This window comes from Homo sapiens, chromosome 5 (genome assembly GCF_000001405.40).
Source record: "Homo sapiens chromosome 5, GRCh38.p14 Primary Assembly".
In the NCBI taxonomy this organism is placed as follows: Eukaryota; Metazoa; Chordata; class Mammalia; order Primates; family Hominidae; genus Homo; species Homo sapiens.
In genome coordinates, this window is record NC_000005.10 from 119,055,238 (window position 1) to 119,080,104 (window position 24,867).

The window sequence follows — 24,867 nt, forward strand, 5'->3', positions numbered from 1 at the left end:
CAAGTGATCCTCCCACTTTAGCCACCCAAGTAGCTAGGAATACAGACACGTGCCACCATGCCTGGCTAATTTTTTATTTTTTGTAGAGACAGGGTCTCTCTATGTTGCTCAGGCTGGTCTCAAACTCCTGGGCTCAAACGATCCTCCTGTCTTGGCCTCCCAAAGTGCTGGAATTTACAGGCATGCACCAACATGCCCAACCAGTAAATACCGTAAAATGTTGCAAATCAGTATTTGCTGAATGAATGGATGATTGCAACATTTTGAGCTCTAGAATGTTGAGCAAGTTGGCAAGGCTTTCTGAGAGGAGTTGGTTCTCCTAAGAGGTGTTACCACTCTAGGAAGCCTAAGGATTACAGTTGTTAGATTTAACATATGAAAATATAGCAAGTTGGAGCAAAGAGGATTTTTAGGGAAGTGATATTACCCTGCATGATGCTGTAACAGTGGGTATATTATCATTATACTGTCGATGAAAAGAGTCAAACTATGTAACATATTTGAAGAGATTTATTCTGAGCCAAGTATGAGTGACCATGGCCCATGGCATAGCCCTTAGGAGATCCTGAGAACATATGCCCCAGGTGGTTGGGGCACAGCTTGCTTTTATACATTTTGGGGAGACATGAGACTTTAATCAAATACATTTAAGAATGGCTGGACAAGCTGAAGCAGGGCTTCCAGCTTACAGGTAGATTTAAAAATTTTCTGGTTGACGCCAGGTGCAGTGGCTCACGCCTGTAATCCCAGTACTTTGGGAGGCCGAGGCTGGCGGGTCACCTGAGGTCAGGAGTTCGAGACCAGTCTGGCCAACATGGTGAAACCCTGTCTCTACTAAAATTACAAAAATTAGCCGCTTGTGCTGTCACCCAGCCTGGGTGACAGACCGAGACTACATCTCAAAAAAAAAAGAAAAAAATTCTGGTTAACAATTTGTTGAGTTTATATAAAGACCTGGGATTAACAGAAAAGAATGTCTGGTTAAGGTAAGAGGTTGTGGAGAGGAAGCCTTCAAATAGCAGGCTTTAGAGAGAATCAGTTGTAAATGTTTCTTATCAGACTTCAAGGTCTGTGTTATTAATTCCGGAAAGGTATAATGAGGTATGTCCAATCCCCACTTCCCATCATGGCCTAAACCAGTCTCTCAGGTTAAATTTTAAGAGTGCCCTGGCTGAGAAGGAAGTCCATGCGGATGGTTGGGCATCTTAGAATTTTATTTTTGGTCTACAATACATTTGTCCAAACCTGTGGAATGTATAATACAACACCAAGAGTGAACCCTAATGTAAACTATGGTCTCCTGGTGATAATGATGAATCCAAGAGCATCAGTTGTAATAAATGCACCACTCTGGTTGGGGATATTGATACTTGGGGAGGCTGTGCTTGTGTGGGAGAAGGAAATTTACAGCAAATCTCTGTACTTTACCTTTCAATTTTGCTGTACACCTAAAACTGCTCTAAAAAATAAAATACATTTTAAAAATACAGGAGGCCCAGTTAAATCCGAATTTCAGAGGCCAGGCATGGTGACTCACACTTATAATCCCAGCACTTTGGGAGGCCAACATGGTGAAACCCTGTCTCTACTAAAAATACAAAAATTAGCCACTGTGGTGGCGCACACCTGGAGTCCCAGCTACTCGGGAGGCTGAGGCAGGAGAATTGCTTGAACTTGGGAGGCAGAGGTTGCAGTGAGCGGTGATCGCTCCAGTGCCCTCCAGCCTGGGTGACAGAGGGAGACTCTGTCTCAAAAAAAAAAAAATTTGAATTTCAGACAAACAACAAATAATTTTTAGTAAGAAGTATATCCCATGCAATATTTAAAACTTATTAAAAAAATTATTCTGGGCGGGGCATGGTGGCTCATGTCTTGTAATCCCAGCACTTTGGAAGCCAAGGTGGGCCGATCACCTAAGATCAGGAGTTTCGAGACTGGCCTGGCCAACATGGCAAAACCTTGTCTCTACTGAAAATATGAAAATTAGCTTGGTGTGGTGGCATGCACCTCTAGTCCCAGATACTCAGGATGCTAAGGCAGGAGAATTGTTTGAACCTGGGAGGCGGAGGTTGCAGTGAGCTAAGATCTCACCCCTACACTCCATCCTGGGCGATAGAGCAAGACTCTGTCTCAAAAAAAAAATTATTCTGAAATAATCTGAAATTCAAATTTGACTGGGATTCCTGTATTTTATCTGGCAATCTTACTTAGGATATGTGTGGAGCAATTTTGGTGACATATTGTAAGATGGGGGACAGTGGGGAAGTGGAATGTGTGTATACTACTGGTTATGGACTAGTCCCACACAGTGAACTGTCCCACCAAATGCCAATAGTACTACTTGTGAAAAATGACAGGCTTGTTGAGGAGGATAAAAACTTTTCCTCTACCCTCTTAGGTACATCAATGGGGACCTTTCTTTTTTTTGTTTTTGTTTTTACTTTTGCTCCACACATACAGAGAAGCTTCTCTAGTAATGATCTATAGAAATTATCCCTGATAGCATAGCAATGATCTATAGAAATTAGTAATGATCTATAGAAATTATCCCTGATAGCATAGCAATGATCTATAGAAATTAGTAATGATCTATAGAAATTAGTAATCATCTATAGAAATTATCCCTGGTAGCATAGTTTTAGGGCCTTTCAATTAGTAATGATCTATAGTAATGATCTCTAGTAATGACCTATAGAAATGATCATTTCTATATTAATGATTTACAGAAATGATCTATAGAAATTATCCCTGATAGCATATTAATGATCTATATAAATTAGGTAATGATCTATAGAAATTATCCCCGATAGCATAGTTTTAGGGCCTTTCAATTAAACTGACAAAAGGCAGATTAAGACGGGGAATGAGGCTGGCTACGGTGGCTCACGACTGTAATCCCAGCACTTTGGGAGGCCGAGGCGGGCAGATCACCTGAGGTCGGGAGTTCGAGACCAGCCTGACCAACATGGAGAAACCCTGTCTCTACTAAAAATACAAAATTAGCCAGGCCTGGTGGCACATGCCTGTAATCTCAGCTACTCGGGAGGTTGAGGCAGGAGAATTGCTTGAACCAGGGAGGCGGACGTTGCAGCGAGCCGAGATCGCACCACTACACTCCAGCCTGGGTGACAGGGCGAGACTCCGTCTCAAAAAAAAAAAAAAAAAAGAAACATCCCAGGCTAATTTGTTTCAGATGCAGATACCCAGGCTCTTGGCCTCCTGCGCATCTGGGAGAATTCCAGGAAGAGTTAGCCACTACTACAAAAAATCTGCAGTCCTCCCAAACTCAGTAGAATCTAAAACACAGAGCTACCTTAATCAGATTTATTTTCATAACCAGGTTCATGTTTTGGTTTTTGAAGTTTTGCTTGCTATTCAAGTGTGCTACTCACATCTCAAATCTTTGTTCTCAGCTTCTCAGCTTTGTGAGTTTAAATGAAATCTGTTCATATCTGACGTTCCTCAAGCAAATATTTCTTGGTTTTATTATCCTTTTTCCCAATGAATAATACAGCAGACAGTTTGGTTGCCTATCCAACAGCCATTTCCAGCCCCTCCTTTCATGCACTTCTTTTTCTAAGGCTAAAAAACCTAATTTTTCACTTCGCCATCCACCCTTGAAACTAGGGGTTTGCAATGTGGCCCACTTCTGGCCATTGATGTATAATAGGAAGTTTGCTTGGTAACTTCCTAGAAAGATTTTTCTTCCTGATAAAAGAAAAGTAGAAAGTGAGAAGCATGCCTTTTTCCTTCCCCACCTTCCTGCTTTTCTGTATGTTGTGTGGTGAGAACAAAACATTTGGTGCTTCTATAGCCAATGTGTGCCCATCAGGGGTAAGCCTACACTTTGCTGCTGAACAATTCTGGAACTATCTTTATTGTATGACTCAATTGTATGTCTTTATTTTTATTTTTATTTTTCAGAGATGGGGTCTTGCTATGTTGCCCAGGCTGGTCACAAACTCCTGTCCTGGGCTCAAGGGATCCTCCTGCCTCAGCCTCCTCTGGCATACATAGCTGGGAATATAGGCACATGCTACAACCTAATAATAAATATTTATAAAATATATATTTAATAATAACATATTATAATAATATATATTTAATAATAAATATTTTTTATTTAAGCCACTGCTAGTTGCCTAGTCTGTTATGTACAGCCTAACACATATAATATAAATATTATTTATGCATTTGAATATTTAATATAGCCATCATGTTTGCATTTGTTGATTAGTAAATATATGGTTACACTTCATTTGTTCCCTTTCTGGAATGACTGCTAGAAAGTTGAACAGGTTGTATGGAAACCTTTGGAGCAATCTAATATTTCAATTAAAAAGGAAGAGAGAAACATACAGACTACTACATTCACTCTGTATAGAAACATCATTAAAGAGATCCATAACCAGGAATTGCCATCGTAATATGAATGTGACTTTTAAACCCAATACTTTCCTAATTCTAGTCCATCTCTTACATTCTCTGCTGTTTAAAAATAGCTTTATTGAAAGATAATTCACATACTATACAATTCACAGTTCCTCTTTGAAAAGAATTTGCATCCTACTTTGTAGAATGAAGACTATCAAGTTTAACCTTTCTGACTAGATAGTCTCTATCTCTACATTTACCATGTCCAAGACCAATCCCTCCACCCTTGATTCCTTATCTCCTCTGTGTTTACTCCATCAGGAGTCTTTAGTGTCCTTCCATTTATATAAGGAGCTACTTCTTAGATAGGCCTTTCCAAAGGAGGCATAGCAGTGGGGTGTGACACAAATGGGGTTAGCTAAGGCCTGTGGTCAGACAGTAAGAGGTCTGTGCAGGGCAAGATTACTGACTAGACCCAGGCAGCAGGGCTTGGCAAGTTTAGGAGACCAAACAGGCTTTAAAGCTTCTTTTAAAGGTAGCAATCAAGGTCAGAGAAGCAAAGTAATTAGACTTTTCAAAACAGTAGTCCTGAGCCACTGCTAGAAAGGACTTGTTCTCTGCAGCCTAGGAAGCCACTGCCTTTTTATCTATTGTAGTGTAGGTATTCTCCAGTCAGCACCTTTCCCTGTGAGAGCCTTGTAGATATTAGGGCAATTTAAAAACTTCTTAGTCTCTAAAAAACAACCAAACAAATATATTTAAAAAGAAAGATTGAAGGAAAGGAAAAGAAAGATACTATCTTCATCTATTCAAGAGTTCTCAGTCTCCAGGTCAGATTCAAGCCTCCGATTGAGTCCCTCATGGCAAGCTAATTCTTCAGAGTCTTGTCATTTTCTTCATAGATTTCTTATTTCAGGAACCCGCTTGAGAAAAGGGCAAAAAGTAAGTAAAAGGGCAAAGACAATTTACACAGTGAAGGTCTCCTTATGTCTTCATCATCTAATCTAACATTGATAACCTCCACTTTACCAAAGTACATTTCTGACAGTCACTAATGACTTTCTAAAATCCTAAATCCGATGTTCTCTTAGACTTCAATTCTTTTTACTCTCTGAGCAGCAACCTTTTCCCCCCCCCAGGCACTTCCTAAAATCATTATTCCTCAATGCCCCTCCCATCCACCTGACTGCGTTAGAAGAGTTGAACCCTTGACTACTAATATTGGGTAGTCACTAAGCTTTAGTTCTCAGTTCTCTACTCCACTTTCTTCACCTTCTCCCTTGGAAATCTCCTCCATTCATGACGCTAAACTCTTGACAGAAGATAGCTCTTGGTTTTGTATTACCTGCTCTGACAGCATTCCTGAGCCCCAATCCCATCTTCCCAACTATCTTCTGTAATAGACGCCCCATGATTACTTCAACTTCTAATGCTGAAATTAGTCTTAGCCTTACCTACCCAAAATGGCTTATCCTACTATTTTCTCCCTATCTTACTACATTAGTAAAATACCATTTCCTTAGTCATCCAACCCTGCTAATTAGTGGCTAGTTTCCACTACTACTTTTCTTTTCTCTCTCTTTTTTTTTTTTTTTTTTTGAGATGGAGTTTCACTCCTGTTGCCCAGGCTGGAGTGGAATGGCACGATCTTGGCTCACTGCAACCTCTGCCTCCCGGATTCAAGTGATTCTCCTGCCTCAGCCTCCAGAGTAACTGGGATTACAGGTGCCTGCACCATGCCCTGCTAATTTTTGTATTTTTAGTAGAGACAGGGTTTCACCATGTTGGCTAGGCTGGTCTCAAATTCCTGACCTCAGGTGATCCACCCACCTTGGCCTCCCAAAGTGCTGGGATTACAGGTATGAGCCACCGCGCCCAGCTTCCATTACTTTTCTAAAAGAAATCTTCAAAATGTTTTCCCTCTTTTTTTTCCAGGATAAAAACCTTTTCTAGAAAAAATATTAAGCAAACAAATGTAATATGTCAGACACCAGACTGCATTATCTATAATAAAAAATTAGAAATATGTAAAACTACCATCATATATTTTAACATTTCGTTTTTTAAAAATAGAGATGAGGTCTCTCTCTATGTTGCCCAGGCTGGTCTTGAACTCCTGGTCTCAAGCTATCCTGCCTTGCCCTTCCAAATTGCTGGGATTATAGGCATGGGCCACTCTGCTTGGTCAAAATATTTCATTTTAAAGAACACAAGCTTGAGGGTGAGATTTTTTTTCTTCCCAGAAATATATATATAGTAGAGCAAAAATTACTTTTTCACTTACAGCAAAAGATGTTTCTTTTATCTACCTTTAGTTCTTTAGATTTAGAGAGCAAAAGACCCTACTTACTAAAAATCCATTATTGTTTAATTAAAGCAGTATGTGCAAACCTGGAGCTTTCTCTCTTTGGATGCTTTAAATCCAGGAATTATAACCAAAAGCCTCTGCACAGAGAATATGGAAGTGTTCTTCTAGAATACAGGGAAAGGTATTGTGGATATTTGCATTTGTAGCAATTTCAGTGACAGAAATGAGTGTTTTCAGAAAGCTGCTTACTGAATTTCTTTCTTAAAAAAGTTTTCTCTTTTTTTTCCTTCTGCTGTACAGGGAATGAAAACTCAGCAGGTGAAAGATTAAGCAATTCACCCATTCCTCAACTCTGCTTTCTTCTATTCATTCAGAACTCTGTTACATATTTTTCTGTAGAATTTTCACCTTGTGTCTATACTTTTGTTTTTAAAAATCCTTTTCTGGCTGGGCGCGGTGGCTCATGCTTGTAATCCCAGCACTTTGGGAGGCCAAGGCGGGCGGATCACGAGGTCAGGAGATCAAGACAATCCTGGCTAACACAGTGAAACCCATCTCTACTAAAAATACAAAATATTAGCCGGGTGTGGTGGCGGGCGCCTGTAGTCCCAGCTACTTGGGAGGCTGAGGCAGGAGAATGGCGTGAACCTGGGAGGCGGAGCTTGCGGTGAGCCGAGATGGTGCCACTGCACTCCAGCCTGGGCAACAGAGCAAGAATCTGTCTCAAAAAAAAAAAAAGTTTAAAAATCCTACTGCTGGCAATTAAAGTTAGTTTTGTCAAGTTATGTATTAAGCACCTTTCAGGAATCATATTCTTGCTTTTCTCTAATCTCTAGTGTTCTCTCTGTTAATTCATATGCTTAATACTTTCTAAAGATGCAGAAAAACTGGAATTCTCATGTTGGTGGGAATTTAAGTTATCATGTGTTAGTCTTGTTATCCAAAGTGACAGAAATGGAATTCAAGCGAACTTAAGAAAAAAAAAGTAGGTAGAGGTTGGGCATGGTGGTTCACACCTGTAATCCCAACACTTTGGTAGGCCAAGGAGGGAGGATTGCTTGAGGCCAACATAGCATGACTCATCTCTCTCTCTCTCACTATATATATATATATTATATATATATAATATATATATTTTATATATTATATATTAAATATATATAATATATATATTATATATATTATATATATATTTTATATATTATATATTAAATATATATAATATATATATTATATATATATTTTATATATTATATATTAAATATATATAATATATATTATATATTAAATATATATAATATATATTATATATTAAATATATATAATATATATATTATATATTAAATATATATATTATATATATAATATATATATTATATATATATGTAAAGTAGGTGGGGAGGATTTTGTGCTCACATAATTGGGTAGGATGGACATTAAACAGGACTGGACCAAGAGTTCAAGTGAGGTTGTCATGGCTTCCCTTTACTCCCTGTAGTAAATATCAAAAATGGAGTTCAGCTCTACTTTTCTTTCTTCATTCTTCCTAAAACACTCAAGGGTCATTTATGTTCAGGGACAATGTTTAATTACTTCAAAAATGCAAGAGTTCCCTGATAGATGCAGCAGAAAATCCTGGAGAAAGATTCTGATTGACCCAGCTGGGGTTCATCCCTGAGTCAATTACAGTAGCTAGGGAAACAGAGGTGAGGCAGTATAGACCTGCCTGGGAAAGGGCATGTGTTCTGTGTTGCCAGACATAATGGACTTAAATCCCAGCTAGCTGTGTGACCTTGGGAAATTACTGCCCTTTACTGTTTTCGTTTCCTTATCTGTAATCTAGGGATTATATTGTAAAGATTACATTCTGTGTAGAAATACACAGAACAATCCCTGGCAAGCAGAATATATTGCATAAATCTTACCGAGTAGTTTTATTATCGGTCATGTGTCTTTCCTTGTGGTTTGAGTGGGAGGGGTTGCTATGAGTAGGAGGTGGTAGTGGAGATGGAGAACAGTGTAGAGGGTTCGTTTTTTCTCTTGTATAGAGGCAGTATACTATAACAGTTAAGAACTTCTCCCTCTACCCCTTACTATGTGACTTGGGCAAGGAAATTTACTCTGTCTCAGTTTCCTTACTTGTACAAGTTAGAAAATAATAGGGGAAAATAATGGGGGAGGAGGGAATAATAGTATCTATCTCTTCAGGTTGACATGAGAATTAAATGAGTCAATACAGAATGCTTAGAATAGTACTTTACTAAATATTCACTTGATGTTAATGACTACAATGATTACACAATTGATATTTCTTTTTAATTTGCCCACGGTATCTAACTGGTATCTATACTGCTAGACTTGGTTCCCATGTCCCACTTTGTGAAATGTGTAGGATTTATGTAATCTACTTCTAATGAGCTCTCTGATACTTGCCAGACTTATAATCCTCTTCACATGGGAATTACTACTGGAATTTGGACCGTTCCCTTAATTCAGTGTAGGGCCCTGGAGCCTATGTGTTTGCTAACGAGAGGTAGCCCAGGTTGTGGTTGTTCATTTCTCTTTTTATTCATCTCTCTTGTCAAACTAAAACAAAAGAAGCTGAGCCTCAGAATTAATATAGAGTATATTTGGGCCAAAGTAGAGAACAGCTGCCTGGGACACACTTCCAAATTGTCTTGGGAAGTGCTCCGTTCAGACCTTTGCTACAAGCAGATTTTTTTTTTTTTTTTTTTTTTGAGACAGAGTCTCACTCTGTCACCCAGGCTGGAGTGCAGTGGCGCGATCTCCGCTCACTGCAAGCTCCGCCTCCTGGGTTCACGCCATTCTCCTGCCTCAGCCTCCCGAGTAGCTGGGACTACAGGCGCGTGCCACCACGTCCGGCTAATTTTTTTGTATTTTCAGTAGAAACGGGGTTTCACTGTGTTAGCTAGGAGGGTCTCAATCTCCTGACCTCGTGATCCGCCCACCTTGGCCTCCCAAAGTGCTGGGATTACGAGCGTGAGCCACCGCGCCCGGCGCTACAAGCAGATTTTTGAAGGCAAAAAGAGGATAAGGAGTGGGCTTATACAAAATTGTTTGTCAGGAATTCTCATCAGTTCACAGAAATAACATTGATTAGTGATTGGCTATACATTATTGAGCTACAGTGTGTGGGTTATACTGTCCAGAATGTGGCATTGTTAGATTAATTTATAGTTACTTGTAGAAACAGCGAATATAGCTAGTAGTTTCTTTTTTTTTTTTTTTTTTTGAGATGGAGTCTCACTCTGTTGCCCAGACTGGAGTGCGATCTTGGCTCACCACGATCTCCAGCGGGTTCAAGCGATTCTCCTGCCTCAGCCTCCCCAGTAGCTGGGATCATAGGCGGCTGCCACTACTATGCCTGGCTAATTTTTGTATTTTTAGTAGAGACAGGTTTCATCATGTTGGCCAGGCTGGTCTCGAACTCCCAACCTCAGGTGATCCACCCACCTCGGCCTCCCAAAGTGTTAGGATTACAGGCGTGAGCCTCCGTGCCCAGCCACGAAAGCAGTTTCAAGAGATTACATAGTTCAAGGAGAGAAATAGGATATGAATGGTGTCTCATTTTAATGCCTTCCTGGGCCTGATAATTTAAAAGGGCTTACATTCCTCATATAAAAAGTGTGTGTGACCAGGCATGGTGACTCACACCTACAATCCCAGCACTTTGGGAGGCCGAGGTGGGTGGATCACTTGAGCCCAGGAGTTCGAGACCAGTCTGGGCAACACGCCAAAACCCCGTCACTACAAAAAATACAAAAATTTGCTGGGCTTGGTGGCGCGTACCTGTGGTCCCAGCTACTTGGGAGGCTGAGGCGGAAGGATCACCTGAGCCTGCCAGGAGGTCAAGGCTGCAGTGAATCGTGATGGTGCCACTCCACTCCAGCCTGGGTGACAGAGTGAGATTCTGTCTCAAGAAAAAAAAAAAAAGTGTGTGTGTGTGTGTGTGTGTGCACGTGTTTATAATTCTTTTTTCTTTGTCACTCTCTAGCAGCTATTTCCACTTCCCTCAGGCAGAAGAGATAAAAAATAAGAATATACGGTAGTTCCAGTTCACATCTTTTTTTTTTTTTTTTTTTTTTTGAGACGGAGTCTCGCTCTGTCTCCCAGGCTGGAGTGCAGTGGCGCGATCTCGACTCACTGCAACCTCCACCTCCCGGGTTTTACACCATTCTTCTGCCTCAGCCTCCCGAGTAGCTGGGACTACAGTCATGCACCACCTACGCCCAGCTAATTTTTTTTGTATTTTTAGTAGAGATGGGGTTTCACCGTGTTAGCCAGGGTGGTCTCGAACTCTTGATCTTGTGATCCGCCCGCCTCGGCCTCCCAAAGTGCTGGGATTACAGGCATGAGCCACCGTGCCCGGCCTGTTCACATCTTTCTAAATTTGGATTATTTGTACAAATTCTTTTTTTTTTTGAAACAGGGTCTTCCTCTGTAACCCAGGCTAGAGTGCAGTGGTGCCAATCATGGAACATCGCAGCCTCAATCTCTTGGGCTCAAGCGATCCTCCTACCTCAGCCTCTGAAGTAGCTAGGACTACAGGCATGCGTCACTACCCCAGGCTATCAAATATCTATTTAACCTATACTATTCCTGATGAATTTTGCTGTAGGCAAGGTTGCTCTTGGCGGTAGAGGCAAGTTTCCAGAGCAACTAACATCTTCGTTGCAGAGACCCTCATATTATTTTTATGAGATAATGAGGTTAGAATGCTTGTGAAATTAAAGCAGCATACTCCCCTTGATTTAGGCTTAGTTATGAGACTAAGAATTTCCCTTACTGCTAACTTCCCTCATCTATCGGTGTTGGCAGTGGGGACTGAAGCCCCTATAGGTGGATCTAGTGACAGAGGCCCTGGGAGAATAGGGATTTTTTTTTTTTTTTTTTTTTGAAAGGAAGTCTCGCTCTGTTGCCCAAGCTGTAGTGCAGTGGAGTGATCTCGGCTCACTGCAACCTCCGCCTCCCAGGTTCAAGCGATTCTCCTGACTTAGCCTCCCAAGTAGCTGGGACTACAGGCACGTGCCACCACACCCTGATAATTTTTTGTTTGTTTGTTTGTTCATGAGACGGAGTTTCACTCTTGTTACCCAGGCTGGAGTGCAATGGCATGATCTTGGCTCACTGTAACCTCCACCTCACAGCTTCAAGCGATTCTCCTGCCTCAGCCTCCAGAGTAGCTGGAATTACAGGCACCTGCCAGCACTCCTGTCTAATTTGTTGTATTTTTAGTAGAGACAGGGTTTTACTGCGTTGGCCGGGCTGGTCTCAAACTCCTGACCTCATGATCCATCTGCCTCGGCCTCCCAAAGTGCTGGGATTACAGGCATGAGCCACCGCCCCCAGCCCTAATTTTTGTATTTTTTAGTAAGACAGGGTTTTGCCATGTTGGTCGCTGGACCTCAGGTGATCCGCCCGCCTGGGCCTCCCAAAGTGCTGGGATTACAGATGTGAGCCACTGCCCCCGGCCAAGAATAGGGATTTAGATTGGTCTATTTGGGGTGGGGGAGGAGGGTAATGACAAGGATTTCAAGAAATCAAGAGTGGGCAAGAGGCATGATTATTTCCCAATCTGAGCTAGCTTCCTATATGCTCCTTTTCTTTCCAAGAATCTCAGAATTTGGCCTGCTTGGGTTTCTTTAAACTATCACCACCCACTGACTCTTATAAAATTCCCCCTCTTCTTGAGATCGCGCCACTGCTCTCCAGCCTGGGTGACAGAGCAAGACTCTGTCCCAAAAAAAAAAAAAAAAATTCCCCCTCCTCTTGAAGACTAGCATTGAAAACCAAAACTTATCTTTGGCCTGCCAATCTCAGAAACCACATGGCACGTCGGTTATGTAAGACATCTTGCTGCTAGTAATAATGCAAACTATACAATAAAAGACTTCCTTTATTTTATTTTTAATTTTTTATTTGGTTTTTAAGAGACGTGATCTATTTTACCTAGACTGGACTTGAACTCCTGGACTCTCAACGATTCTCCTGCCTTAGCCTCTTGGGTAACTGGGACTACTGGCGCTGCATACAGCAAGACTTTTTTTTTTTTTTTTTTGTAGAGCCATCCTTTCTCTCTTATTTTTTTTTAGAAACTAAAAAAGAAAACCACCAAAGCACACAGTCAGTGAGCATTCAAAGGATGGAAGGATATAATTCAATTATAGTTGAGGGGATAATTAGACTCAATAATTCTCCGGGATTTTTTTTTTTTTTTTAAGACAAGGTCTATCGCCCAGGTTAGAGTACAGTGGCGTGATCATAGTTCACTGCAACCTGGAACTCCTGAGTTCAGGGATCTTCCTGCCTCAGCCTCCCAAAGCGCTGGGATTGCAGGTGTTAACCACTGCACCAGGCCCTTCTCCTGGATTTCTTGGATTAGCAGGTTGATTTGTGAGCCTTTGGTAGAAGGAATGTGGAGACTTTGAGCAAGTGGAATGGAGGCATGCAGTGCTGCCTTCTAGACCCGCAGTAAGGAAACAGGAACAGGAGGATGAGGGGCAAACAACCTAAAATTTACTTTCACCTCCTCCACCTTCTTATTAATCTTCCCATAAGGTCAGAGTCATGTCAAAGTTGCACAATAAATCAGGAATAGATTTAGGATTCGACAGAACCTTAGTAGGGGAATTTTATGACATTAGGAGATGATCTGTGAGGGGCAGCATCTTGGAGGCAAAGGGAATTTTGTTTGTTTGTTGTTTTTTGTTTTGTTTTGTTTTGTTTTTGGGATGGAGTCTTGCTCTGTCGCCCAGGCTGGAGTGCAGTGGCGCAAGCTCTGCTCACTGCAAGCTCCGCCTCCCGGGTTCACGCCATTCTCCTGCCTCAGCCTCCTAAATAGCTGGGACTATAGGTGCCCGCCACCACGCCTGGCTAATTTTTTTTTCTGTATTTTCTGTAGAGACGGGGTTTCACTGTGTTAGCCAGGACGGTCTTGATCTCCTGACCTCATGATCTGCCCGCCTTGGCCTCCCAAAGTGCTGGGATTACAGGCGTGAGCCACCGCGCCCCGCATCTTGTTGCTCAGTTTTATTCTAATACGTGGAATGCTCTTCAAAACTAACAAATGGGCAAAATAGAATGAGTAAACATGTTAAATTATGAACCAGCCACAGAATTTATGTGGGAGCCACACAAGTACAACAATCCTGGTTCTGGGTCTAAAATATAAAATTAAAAAGCACTTGAAGTATAATTTGAAATAATAAAAGACAAACTGTAGGTATGTTAGACCTCAAAAAATAAGTATATTTTAAAAAAAGACAAATTAAGTTTTGTCCCTTATCTTATGAAAAGCCTGGAATACATAATGAAATTCATTTTTTAAATAAGTTTCGGGTTTTTTTTTTTTCCCCACATCAGATGGGTAATGTGCAGATGATGGCGCAACAAGGTTTGAGGGAGGGACGTCTCACACAAGTGTGAACACACAATCATCCCACTTATGAACTAAAAAGTATCTCGTAAGTAGCTTTTTATTGTCAGACAAAGTAAATGTACATTGCAAAAAATGTAGTAAAAATAAAAGGAAATAAATTTACTAGTACTCGTCCCACCCTAGTATTATTATAGTTTGAAGTCTTCATACTACAACAAAAGGGGGAGTTTCTTTATTTTCTTTTCTCTCTTTTTTTTTTTTTTTTTTGACTTTCTCTCTTGTTGCCCAAGCTGGAGTGCAATGACACGATCTTGGCTCACTGCAACCTCCGTCTCCCAGGTTCAAGCGATTCTCTCGCCTCAGCTTCCCAGTAGCTGGGATTACAGGCGCGTGCCACCATGCCAGGCTAATTTTTTAATTTTTAGTAGAAACTGGGTTTCACAATGTTAGCCAGGCTGGTCTCGAACTCCCAACCTCAGGTGATCCCCCCGCCCCCACCTCGACTTACCAAAGTGCTGGGATTACAGGCGTGAGCCATCGTGCCTGGCCTATTGGAGAGTTTTGAGGGTTGTTTGTTTTGAGACGGGATCTCACTCTGTCACCCAGGCTGGAGTGCAACGGGGGTCTTGGCTCACTACAACCTCTGCCTCCCGGGTTCAAGTGATTCTCCTGCCTCAACCTCCCGAGTAGCTGGGATTACAGGTGGGAGCCACCACGCCCGGCTAATTTTTGTATTTTTAGTAGAGAAGGGGGTTTCACTATGTTGGCCAGGCTGGTCTCGAACTCCTGACCTCGTGATTCACCCTCCTCGGCCTCCCAAAGTTCTGGAATAATAGGCGTGAGTCACCGTGCCTGGCCTATTTGGAGAGTTTCTATACACATTCATGCAACATTTACAGAACACCCTGAATGGGTGGGACTGGTGCGGTGCTAGACATTAAGGACAGACTTGTGTCCTGTTCCTCTGTATTCCAAAGAGGCTTACGGTATACAGGGGGAGACATATAAACAGATGTTTGTCAATTATAATACAAAACTTGTGTCAAAATACAATGAGAGTTGAATCTCAGTTTGTAGCTGTGACTCTGATCATTCTGGAATTCCTAGGTTCTTTTCCAAAACAAACGCTCAATGCAGGGCTGGTGTGTTGTTATTACCAGCACTATTTCAAATCACGTGTTAAGATAACTTAGGCTAAGAAAATACCACTTTCCTACTTGTCAAGTGTTCGAGCCTTTCAAAAACCATCCCGTTTAGGGACTTGGAAACACGCGCAAGGCTGGAGAAACCATTAAGCTGCTAACGTAGACGTTTCAAGGGTCACATTTACTCAAGAGACACTCAGGTCGCCCGGGGGAGCGGTGCATATTGGGACTTGTAGTCCTACCAGAACCGAGGAAACTGCAACTCCCTTTAGGATGCACTTCTCCCCTTTAAATTTTCTGGCCCAACAGTTAGATGACGCCCTAACCTAAAGCACAACTTACCACATCTCACTCATTCTGGGTTCATCAGGCTTCTGCCAGGCTTATCAGGTTCAAGCTCAAACGCACGGCGTTCTCCTGTAGAAGCCTCAAAGAGATTGGCTTATTCTCGGTGGTGGGCGGAGCCCTAGGTGGACCGGGGGTCGGGATTGGCCAGTTTCTGACTAGAAGAGGCGTTTTTATGTTCACTTGCTGATACGCACGCTGTGGTAAAAAAGTGAATTCTTTACCACAGTAGCAGCTGCCCCGAGCGAAGTCTCGCGATATTTCGGCCGCAGGGATCCAGAGGCGCGTAGTGAGTGGCGGAGGACTGTGGGGGTGGCGGGCACCGGAGCCGGGAAGGGACAGGTCAGGCGGGGAGTGCGAGCGCGTACTGCTTGCGCCACTCGGGCTGGGTCAGGAGCGGCTGCCCGAGGTCCAGAGGAAGTGTGTGGACAGCGCGGCCTTCCTGGCCGGTGAGTCGGCCCCGGGTCGTGGCCGGTGAGGGGACCCTGAGCTTCACCTGGGCTAGCGCGGGGAGTGACAGGTGCGCGAAGGAGCGCGGCGCTCCGCCCTCTCGCCGACCCGCCCCCTCCGGGCCTCGCCCTCCGGGGCTCGGGATGAGTCGCGGGCCCCAGCTGAGCGGCTCCGGCTCCAGGCGCCTGTCGCTGCTTCTGCCGTCGCCACCGAAGAGCGGCCGCCGCCCCTGAGGGAAGGAGGGAGGGAAGCAGCCGCTGACCCGTGGCATGAGCTGGATGCGGTGTCCGTTGCAGGACTAGGGCGCCGACATGAACCTGCACCAGGTGCTGACCGGGGCTGTGAACCCTGGCGACCACTGCTTCTCCGTGGGCAGCATTGGCGACCAGCGCTTCACGGTGAGTGAGGGAGGCCCTCGCGTCGCCCGTGGCCCGGCCTTTGCCCGTCATTCTGGGCCGAGCTTGGCCCAGAACGACGGGCAGAGGCGCGAGGTCTTGTCTCCCCAGGGGGGTCCTTACCACCCAGAACCCAGCAGACCTGGCCCTTGAGAACTAAGGAAGCAAAACCATGTCGGTCAGTGAGGTACTGTATGGAGCCTGAACTCAAGTTAGAATATTTTGTAGGATTTTTAAAGTTTTTGGTCTGTCTGCCTTGGGCCAGGGTGCTTTGCCAAAGTCGTTTGTTCAAAAATCTTTGTTGAGTAACGAGTTGGGGGCTTTTTTATACCATTCTATAGGTTCAAATTGTCAAATTTAGGAATAGTGGAGATTGGTTTCATTTTGTATTCTAAGTTAAGGTCAAGTATCTTTGTAGTTAAAAAGTGGGTGTCTCAAAACAATTACCAATTGTTTGCCATCAACAACTAGCCTTGAGAACAGTGTTTTTCATTTATTTTCTTTTCTAATTCCCTGAGAAATAACTTCGGAAAGAAAAAAAAGCCTTTTCATTTTTAAAAATATTTCTTGGATATTTTACAATAACCTGGTAATCCCAGGTTAAGGTTGCTTAACTTGCTTTTCATTGGTCACATATTGACAAGAAGAGGGCACCAAATTTCGGGCTACTTGTCAGTATAGTGGCATTTTTCTACCTTAACTATAGGTTTTTTTTTAATAACAATTTCAAAATATAAGTCAGTAATTGCACATGATACTTTTATCTACATAAATTTATAATGCTAATGATTTTTGCTACAATTTGTGTAGATACCTCTTTAGTTGTGATTAAAAGTAAAACTTGTCACTGCCTGGGAATACTAAGTGCTGTAGGCTTTTTTCTTTAAAAAAAATAAAAGTAAAACTTAATTTTGTATAAGTGACACAAAGTAAACAACGTAACCAATGCCCCAGGTTTAGGAGTGTTAAATTTCTAATCTTTTTCTCTGCTTTTAATTTTTCTGTGGTCTTTGTTGGTCAGAATAAATAATACTCAGCATTTAAAATGGTGGAGGCATTTAATGCCTGAATTGTACTTTTAGAATTGTGCCAAGAAGCATTTTGTTTTCAAATAGAGACTGTACCTCCCCTTTAGATTGACTCATACACATCTTAATTATCGGGATTCCAATTCTAAATGTTTGCCCAGCCTGAATACTTGGGAAAAGAGTGAGCTCTGAGGGTCCCAGTGAGCAACTATAGTTTCCTTACACCTGGGCATTGCTCTCTGCTCTTGCTGCTTGAGAGGAAAGTAAACATCATCCTTAGAAGGTTTTCCTAGTGGGAAATTATAGGATAATATTGTTGCATTCTCTGTCATTTCCTAAATTTATATGAGTGCTTTCTCCAGTGTAAATTCTAAGAACTTTTGCTTTTTAAAAACTTTTGAAATGAGGTCTCCCTCTGTCACCTAGGCTGGAGTGCAGTGGCGGGATCACAGCTCACTGCAGCCTCGACCTCCCCGGCACAAGCCGTCCTTCCACCTTAGGCTCCTGAGGAGCTAGGACTACAGATTCTAATCACCACGGCTGGCTAAGTTTTCTATTTTTTGTAGAGAGGGGTCTCCTTATGTTGCCCAGGCTGGTCTTGACTTCCTGGGCTCAAGTGATCCTCCCACTTCAGCCTCCCAAAATGCTAGGATTAGAGGCGTGAGCCACCATGCCCAGCCCTAAGAATTTTTTCTAAGAAGGCATTCACAATCTATGTAAGCAGTGGTGTGAACTTCAAAGCATATGCAGTATGATGGCCTATTTATATACCTGGATGCATTCCTCTATAAAACCTTGGTGAATGTCTGTGTATTGTTTTTAAGGAGAGATCAGTTAATGTGCCGAGGAGGATTAGATAGATGGTCATCCTGTACCATCATGTAGCTTGTTGCTCAGTTCTGCTGAATTTTAAAGTTCATTTCCATTGAGTAGGATTTAATCTCCCACCAAGCCTACTGCAGATTTCTTCCAGGTCTCTGGAAGCATTCAGTAAATAAACTAAAAATAAATTTTTAAGTATAAAGAGAGTTCAGCTCTCTTTAGTTTTGATGGAATTTTAAGGATTTAACAGTCATGGTTTTCCTTTGCAGCCTGTTCATCCTTGACTCTTTAAGTTGCTTACGCTCATTATCCTGGACACTTATATACACCTTAAATTTTTCTCTCTTGAAATCGCCCTTTTTTCTTCTCTCATGTTAAAAGGCAGAATCTATTGTTTACTTCTTGAGTTGTTTTGTGTTGTTTTTTTTTTTTGAGACGGAGTTTCGCTGTCGTTGCCCAGGCTGGAGTGCAATGGCGCGATCTTAGCTCACTGCAACTTCCGCCTCCTGTGTTCAAGAGATTCTCCTGCCTCAGCCTCCTGAGAAGCTGGGATTACAGGCATGTGCCACCATGCCCTGCTAATTTTGTATTTTTTAGTAGAGGTGGGGTTTCACCATGTTGGTCAGGCTGGTCTGGAGCTCCTGACCTCAGGTGATCCACCAGTCTTGGCCTCCCAAAGTGCTGGGATTACAGGCGGGAGCCACTGCACCCAGCCTTGAGTGTTGTTTTTAACCTTTTTTGATTTTGACTTTTCTTTGATAGGAAAATAGTAAACATTAATGGTAGATGGTATGTGAAGACTAAAATATCCCTCAGTTGCATTTTACTTGAAGTGGAGCATGACATCTTCCTCTTGCAGTTCCCCTTGAAAAATTCTTTTATTCCTTTTGGTACTTTGTGTTTTCTTTTAGGACAGTCCTGCTTTTGTAATTCCTCCCTTTGCATGTTTGCAGATAACTTACGTGTTCTTGGTTTGAAAGATTACAAGATGTGAGATCTTGTTTTACTCATAAAGCCTGACAGGTTTTAAATGGAAATGAAACTGAATGCCACTTCTCCTATTTTCTAGATTTGAAAATATGAAATTACCAACGCAGATTAGTCTATTTAAGTATTAGATACTTTTTTACTACCTCATCAGGCATCAAGCTGTTTTGACTTTGCTCTTAGTAAGAAAACCTCTTGTGGGCAATGACCATCTCTCCTGTGCTTTCAGAGCACTTTCTTTGCATCTTTATTCTATCATTAACCAGTCTTGCCTTGTGGATTGTATGTGTATGACTTCCCACGCTTCATTGTGAGCACCTAGAACAGTGATTGAAAGAGTGTTTAAACCTAACAGTAAGGTCATTACTTGGAGTTGATTTCCAATGTGGTCCCTTTTAATTAGCTGTTTATCCATTAGCAAGTTATACTCTTGGAATTTCTTTTTTTCTCTTCTGTAAAATGGGACTAAAAGAGTATTATTCATAGAGTTGCTACATGAAAAAGTGCTAAGCTGTAAGTCCATGGTTTAGCACATGTAAAACTCTCAAAAATGTCAGTTTTCATAAAATTAAGGTTATATTTATTGTAATGCCTAACAATAGAAAGTACTTCATAAATCGTGGTTGAATTAATGAAAAATGGATAGAGAAACCTTATAGTAATATAAATATTAATTGCTACATTTAAAAATAGCTTTAATCATTTAGATTTGAGTCCAAATAAAATATTCCTGTTAGTTTCTTTTTTTTTCTTTTTTTTTTTTTTTGGAGACTGAGTATCACTCTATCACCCAGGCTAGAGTGCAGTGGTGTGATCTCAGCTCACTGCAACCTCCGCCTCCCGGGTTCAAGCTGTTCTCGTGCCTCTGCCTCCCAAGCAGCTGGGATTACAGGCGCACACCACCACGCCCAGCTAATTTTTGTGTTTTTAGTAGAGACGGGTTTCATCATGTTGGCCAGGCTGGTCTTGAACTCCTCACCTCAAATGATCCGCCCACCTCGGCCTCCCCACGTACTGGGATTACAGGCGTGAGCCACCGCGCCCTGCCTGTTAGTTTCTTTTTCAAAGTCAGTTGTTAGGCATTTTATCATCAACAAGTGAGCAACTAGGGGAGACTTTAGGTATGCTAAGCAAAAATTATTTATTTTTTCCTTATTTACTGGAATGCTTCCTTCATGCCTTTTTCCTTGTTAATTTCCTACTGATCTTAGTATGTGAGAAATCTGGTCTTTTTTAAAAAAAAAACAAAAAAAAATGGAGGCTGGGGTCTCCTTATGTTGCCCAGGCTGATGTCTAACTCCTGGGCTCAAGTGATCCTCCCGCCTTGGCCTCCCAGGCTGCTGGGATTACAGACGTGAGCTGCCATGTCCACCCTGCAATTTTTGCTTTTAGAATTAAATGTATTCTGTTTATAAAAGGCAACAAGTTAAAAAGAAGACTAGTTAATTAGAATCTACATTTATAGATTCTACTTTTATGCATACTATTGATATGATACTTTTTTTTTCTTTTTCTTTTGTGGTTTATCTATACTTAGGGTTGAAACTGTGATTTGAATGATATGGAAAGGGAGATAATTTCCAAGAGACAGAAAGATTGTACCAATATATAAGACTAACTGTCTCTGATTTGGAACTTAAACATCTTAGCTATGGGAGGGAAAGCAAATATGTTATAGCTCCAATTTCCCTTTAGTATTAGAAAACTCAGTGTTTCTAGCTAAGGGAATCTAGATTAGAAATCAAAAGACTGTAATTATGTGAGTGTCATTAGAGAAATAGGGCTGAATAAGTAGTCGTCTTCAGCTTTCTGTAATAAGCATCCTTGAGTTTAGCTCTGTTTTGTTTACTTTAAGGAAACCTTTATTGGTAGAAGTGTAATTGCCAAATTGGGAGGATGGGAAGGTGTTTGTTTTTTTTTTCTGAAAGGGGGCATGTGAATCTTTTTTGGTGGGGAGAATATAGAAGGGCAAAGATTGCTACTATTCACATGTGAAGAAAGAGAAAGGTGTTTGTGGTGCATAAAATATTGCAAGTACTAAAGTGGACTTCAAAATATGTTGGCCTGTTTTAAAACATAAAGTTTTACAGTGTTTAAGTACCTTTAAAATCATTGAAATGATAGTAGTTCTCAATACTTTATTATATTTTAAAGATAAGAATTGCTGCATGCCAAACTTAAAACCTATGTCATTTAAATAGGACATATACCAGAAAGGAATTCTTTGGGGGTGTTTACCTGGTTTTGTTGATTAAAACTAGAATACTGACTGTTACAGCCTTGAATTTTATTGAAATTTAGAATATTTGAGAAGATTCTCTGCCAAAATTTAAAGTTGAAAGTTATATTTTGATTATATGCTTGATAGCACACATGTGACTCAATTCTTCCTGTGCATCGTGTTTATTCTTAAAGTTGATAAACCTAATGTTGTATGTGCCTAATAGAAGGATTTTCATTTGTCAATTTAATTTTATTGGTTAGTAATAGATTATTCTGATTACAGATCTTTTATTATTTTTTAATTAAAACATTTTTAAATAAAAAGAGATGGGGGTCTCACTGTATTGACCAGGCATGACCAGGAACTCCTGGCCTCAAGTGATCCTCCCATCTTGGCCTCCCAAAGTGCTGGGATTACAGGGATGAACCAACAGGCCCAGTGCTATTTTATTTTATTTTTTTGAGGCAGGATCTTGTTATATTGCCCAGACTGGTTTGGAACTCCTGGGCTCAGGTGAGCCTCCCTGTGATTACAGGTGTGCCCCACTGTGCCCAGTGATTATAGATCTTTTGACAGAAGCAGCTGGTGACATCGACAGTTTATTTGATAAGCCAGTGCTGCTATTATTGTTTTGATAACCTTCTATATTATAGTCAGGGCACCTTGAAATGAGTTTTTGTGAATAATTTATTTTAGACATCTGTAAAACCAGTTTTACATTTTGATTTAGAAGTTTCATGTATTGTATTACATCTTCATCTTAGGTTTTTTTTTTTTTTTTTTTTTTTTTTAAGACAGGGTCTCACTCTGTCACCCAGGCTGGAGTACAGTGGATCTCAGCTCACTGCAGCCTCTGCCTCCTGGCCTGAAGCGATCCTCCCACGTGGCTGGGACCACAGACACGTGCCACCATTCCTGGCTTTTTTTTTTTTTTTTTGTATATGTGTGTGTGTATATATATGTGTGTGTGTGTGTGTGTGTATGTGTATATATACACTTAAAAATATATGTATGTGTACATATATACATTTATTTTTTAAGTGTGTGTGTGTGTGTGTGTGTGTGTGTGTGTGTATATCTGTACTTACCTGGCGAGACCCTATCTGTACTTAAAAAATATATACGTGTGTGTGTGTGTATATATACGTGTGTGTGTGTGTGTAGATATATATACACACACACACACGTATATATTTTTTAAGTACAGATAGGGTCTCTCCATGTAACCCAGGCTGTTTTCAAATTCCTGAGCTCAAGCAGTCCACCTGCCTCAGCCTCCCAAAGTGCTGGGATTACAGGTGTGAACCACCATGCCTGGGATGTTTTAGGTTTTTATTTAAAATCAGGTAGACGGATTATTTTTTATTTAAGAATTTAGTGGTACAAGGATTATTTTAAAATCATGCACAGCCCATTCTGTTTCATTTATTTATTTAAAACAAGTTTTTAAAGATGAGGTCTTGCTGTGTTGCCAGGGCTAGTCTGGAACTTCTGGCCTCAAGTGATCCTACTGCCTCAGCCTTCCAAGTAGCTGGGACTACAAGCCTGTGCTGCTGCACCTGGCTCATATTTTCACTTTTATTTTCACAAACTTTCTAGTATTAAGGAGAACATTGAAACTGGAGATTTAGTATGCCCTTTTCTTTTAGAAATGAGACCATTTATATGGACTTGGAGCTTGAATTATTTGTCCAGCCACTGATGCCTCTGTTCTTAGCACATATTTGTGAGATATTTATTTTATTTATTTTTTTGAGACAGAGTCTTGCTCTGTCACACAGGCTGGAGTGCAGTTGTGGGATCACAGCTCACTGCAGCCTCAATCTCCTAGGCTCAATCAGTCTTCCCACTTCAGTCTCCCAAGTAGCTGGGACCACAGGTGTGTGCCACACCATGCCCAGCTAATTTTTTATTTTATGCGGAGATGGGGTCCCACTATGTTGCCCAGGCTGGTCTCAAACTCCTGGGCTCCAGTGATCCTCCCACCTTGGCCTCTCAAAATGCTGGGATTACAGACATGACCCACTGCACCCAGTCTGTGAGATATTCAGATCAAGGAGTTCCTATCATGCCTGTGTTGCAAGATGAAGATAACTATATGGAAATCAGACTTTAATTCTTGACCTTATTACCTGTTGTTTCACCGTTATTGCTACACATTTTAACTTTACAATTTATATAATTTAGCATGAGTTAATTTAGCAACAGTCTTTGTTGCCAGTATCCTTTAACTGTCTGGACCCTTTTTGTTTGCGCCAGTCTGATGAAATTCCACACACTTGATCAGTCTCATGTTCTTTCTTGTTCCTGTATATCTCATGAGCACTACTAGACTATGTAAAGAAATTCCTGTGGAAAATAAAGTCATGTTTGCCAACCTCAAATGGGACCTCAAAGCTTTCCAGGAATCCTCCCACCAGTCTGCTCATTTTTCCTTTCTTGTACCTTCTGAAACCTCCCATCCCAGTGCTCTCTTAACTCATATAAACTTGCCACCTGGAATCATTCAGATGGCAGCTCCCTCATTTTTGACTACAAGCTGAAAAATCCACTTATATCAGCATCCATTCTTTCCTTCTCTCCTCCTGGTACAATAAAATAAATGTCCCCCAGAATTGTCCAGGGTTAATCAGTCTTCTTGGTGCCGTGGATCTTATCTATTCAGGCTGTCTCTGGGAGCTCAGCCCTAAAGTTATCTCTACTTTTTTCTTTCCAGAGTTTCTAAAACATGCTTAAAATTCTCATCTTGAAAAACAGCCAACCTGAAAATCCTTTGCTGCCACATCCCTCTTTATCTTTGACTTCAAAGTCCTTGAATTGTCTGTATTTGTTGCCACTTTTATGTCCTGCTCACTTCTTAACTCACTATACTTTGGCAGCTTTTTTCTCCTTAGTCACTGGTAACCACATTGATGCTAATTTGAATCAACAGATCTCCTTTGTACCTTGCTTTCTCTTTGGCATTTGTCATGTTGATCATTTTCTCCTTAGTCACTGGTAACCACATTGATGCTAATTTGAATCAACAGATCTCCTTTGTACCTTGCTTTCTCTTTGGCATTTGTCATGTTGATCATTTTTTCCTTCACTTTCCTTGGCTTAGTTATACCATACTCGCCCCCAACCCCACCCTCTTAGTCATTCTCAGTGTTCTTTGCAAGATATCTTTCTTGTCTGTCCCTTAAATATTGGTGACCGTCAGGCCTACCAGGCCTTGGTCCTCTTCTCGTTTCATTCTACATGCAGCTCCTGGTGTATAGTCTGTGATGGTGAGATCCCTGTCTTTAGCTTCATATTGATAATTTTAAATACCTCTTGGATTGTTCCACTTGAAGTTGCTACAAATAATCAATTTTAAAATGTTCTGCACGCCTGTAATCCCAGCACTTT

General features: G+C 41.4%; 1 protein-coding gene, 1 long non-coding RNA gene and 1 other non-coding gene across 24 annotated transcripts in view, besides 4 other annotated features; 1 reads left to right on the plus strand and 2 right to left on the minus strand.

The window, feature by feature from the left end:
* Positions 1 to 15,653, minus strand: part of DMXL1-DT (DMXL1 divergent transcript) — a 74,579-nt gene extending 58,926 nt beyond the window's left edge. Inside the window, exon 1 of the long non-coding RNA NR_134250.1 lies at positions 15,569 to 15,653. This is a non-coding gene — a long non-coding RNA (DMXL1 divergent transcript). The remainder of the gene's footprint in view (positions 1 to 15,568) is intronic.
* Positions 8,626 to 8,735: an enhancer, noted in NCBI's record as "active region_22958". NCBI's record gives its function as "activates an Ori minimal core promoter by ATAC-STARR-seq in GM12878 lymphoblastoid cells {active_cell/tissue: GM12878}" and the evidence as "EXISTENCE:reporter gene assay evidence [ECO:0000049][PMID:35858748]".
* Positions 14,060 to 14,163, minus strand: LOC124901209 (small nucleolar RNA U13). The gene has a single exon (XR_007059173.1). It is a non-coding gene; the product is annotated as a small nucleolar RNA U13 (small nucleolar RNA).
* Positions 15,617 to 15,696: a silencer, noted in NCBI's record as "silent region_16261". NCBI's record gives its function as "represses an Ori minimal core promoter by ATAC-STARR-seq in GM12878 lymphoblastoid cells {active_cell/tissue: GM12878}" and the evidence as "EXISTENCE:reporter gene assay evidence [ECO:0000049][PMID:35858748]".
* The window catches only part of DMXL1 (Dmx like 1), a 178,101-nt gene continuing 169,023 nt past the window's right edge, over positions 15,790 to 24,867 (plus strand). For 11 of the 22 annotated variants that reach the window (NR_170869.1, NR_170867.1, NR_170868.1 and 8 more), the window contains exon 1: positions 15,850 to 16,419. Coding sequence is in view for 15 of the 22 variants with exons in the window: in XM_005271910.6 (XP_005271967.1) it covers positions 16,333 to 16,419 (87 nt within the window). In the remaining 7 variants the exon portion in view is untranslated. Of the gene's footprint in view, positions 16,420 to 24,867 lie in introns of all 22 variants that reach the window. The other 11 variants (XM_005271909.5, NM_001349239.2, NM_001387933.1 and 8 more) reach the window with 5 other exon arrangements.
* Positions 16,007 to 16,286: a silencer, noted in NCBI's record as "silent region_16262". NCBI's record gives its function as "represses an Ori minimal core promoter by ATAC-STARR-seq in GM12878 lymphoblastoid cells {active_cell/tissue: GM12878}" and the evidence as "EXISTENCE:reporter gene assay evidence [ECO:0000049][PMID:35858748]".
* Positions 22,956 to 23,125: an enhancer, noted in NCBI's record as "active region_22959". NCBI's record gives its function as "activates an Ori minimal core promoter by ATAC-STARR-seq in GM12878 lymphoblastoid cells {active_cell/tissue: GM12878}" and the evidence as "EXISTENCE:reporter gene assay evidence [ECO:0000049][PMID:35858748]".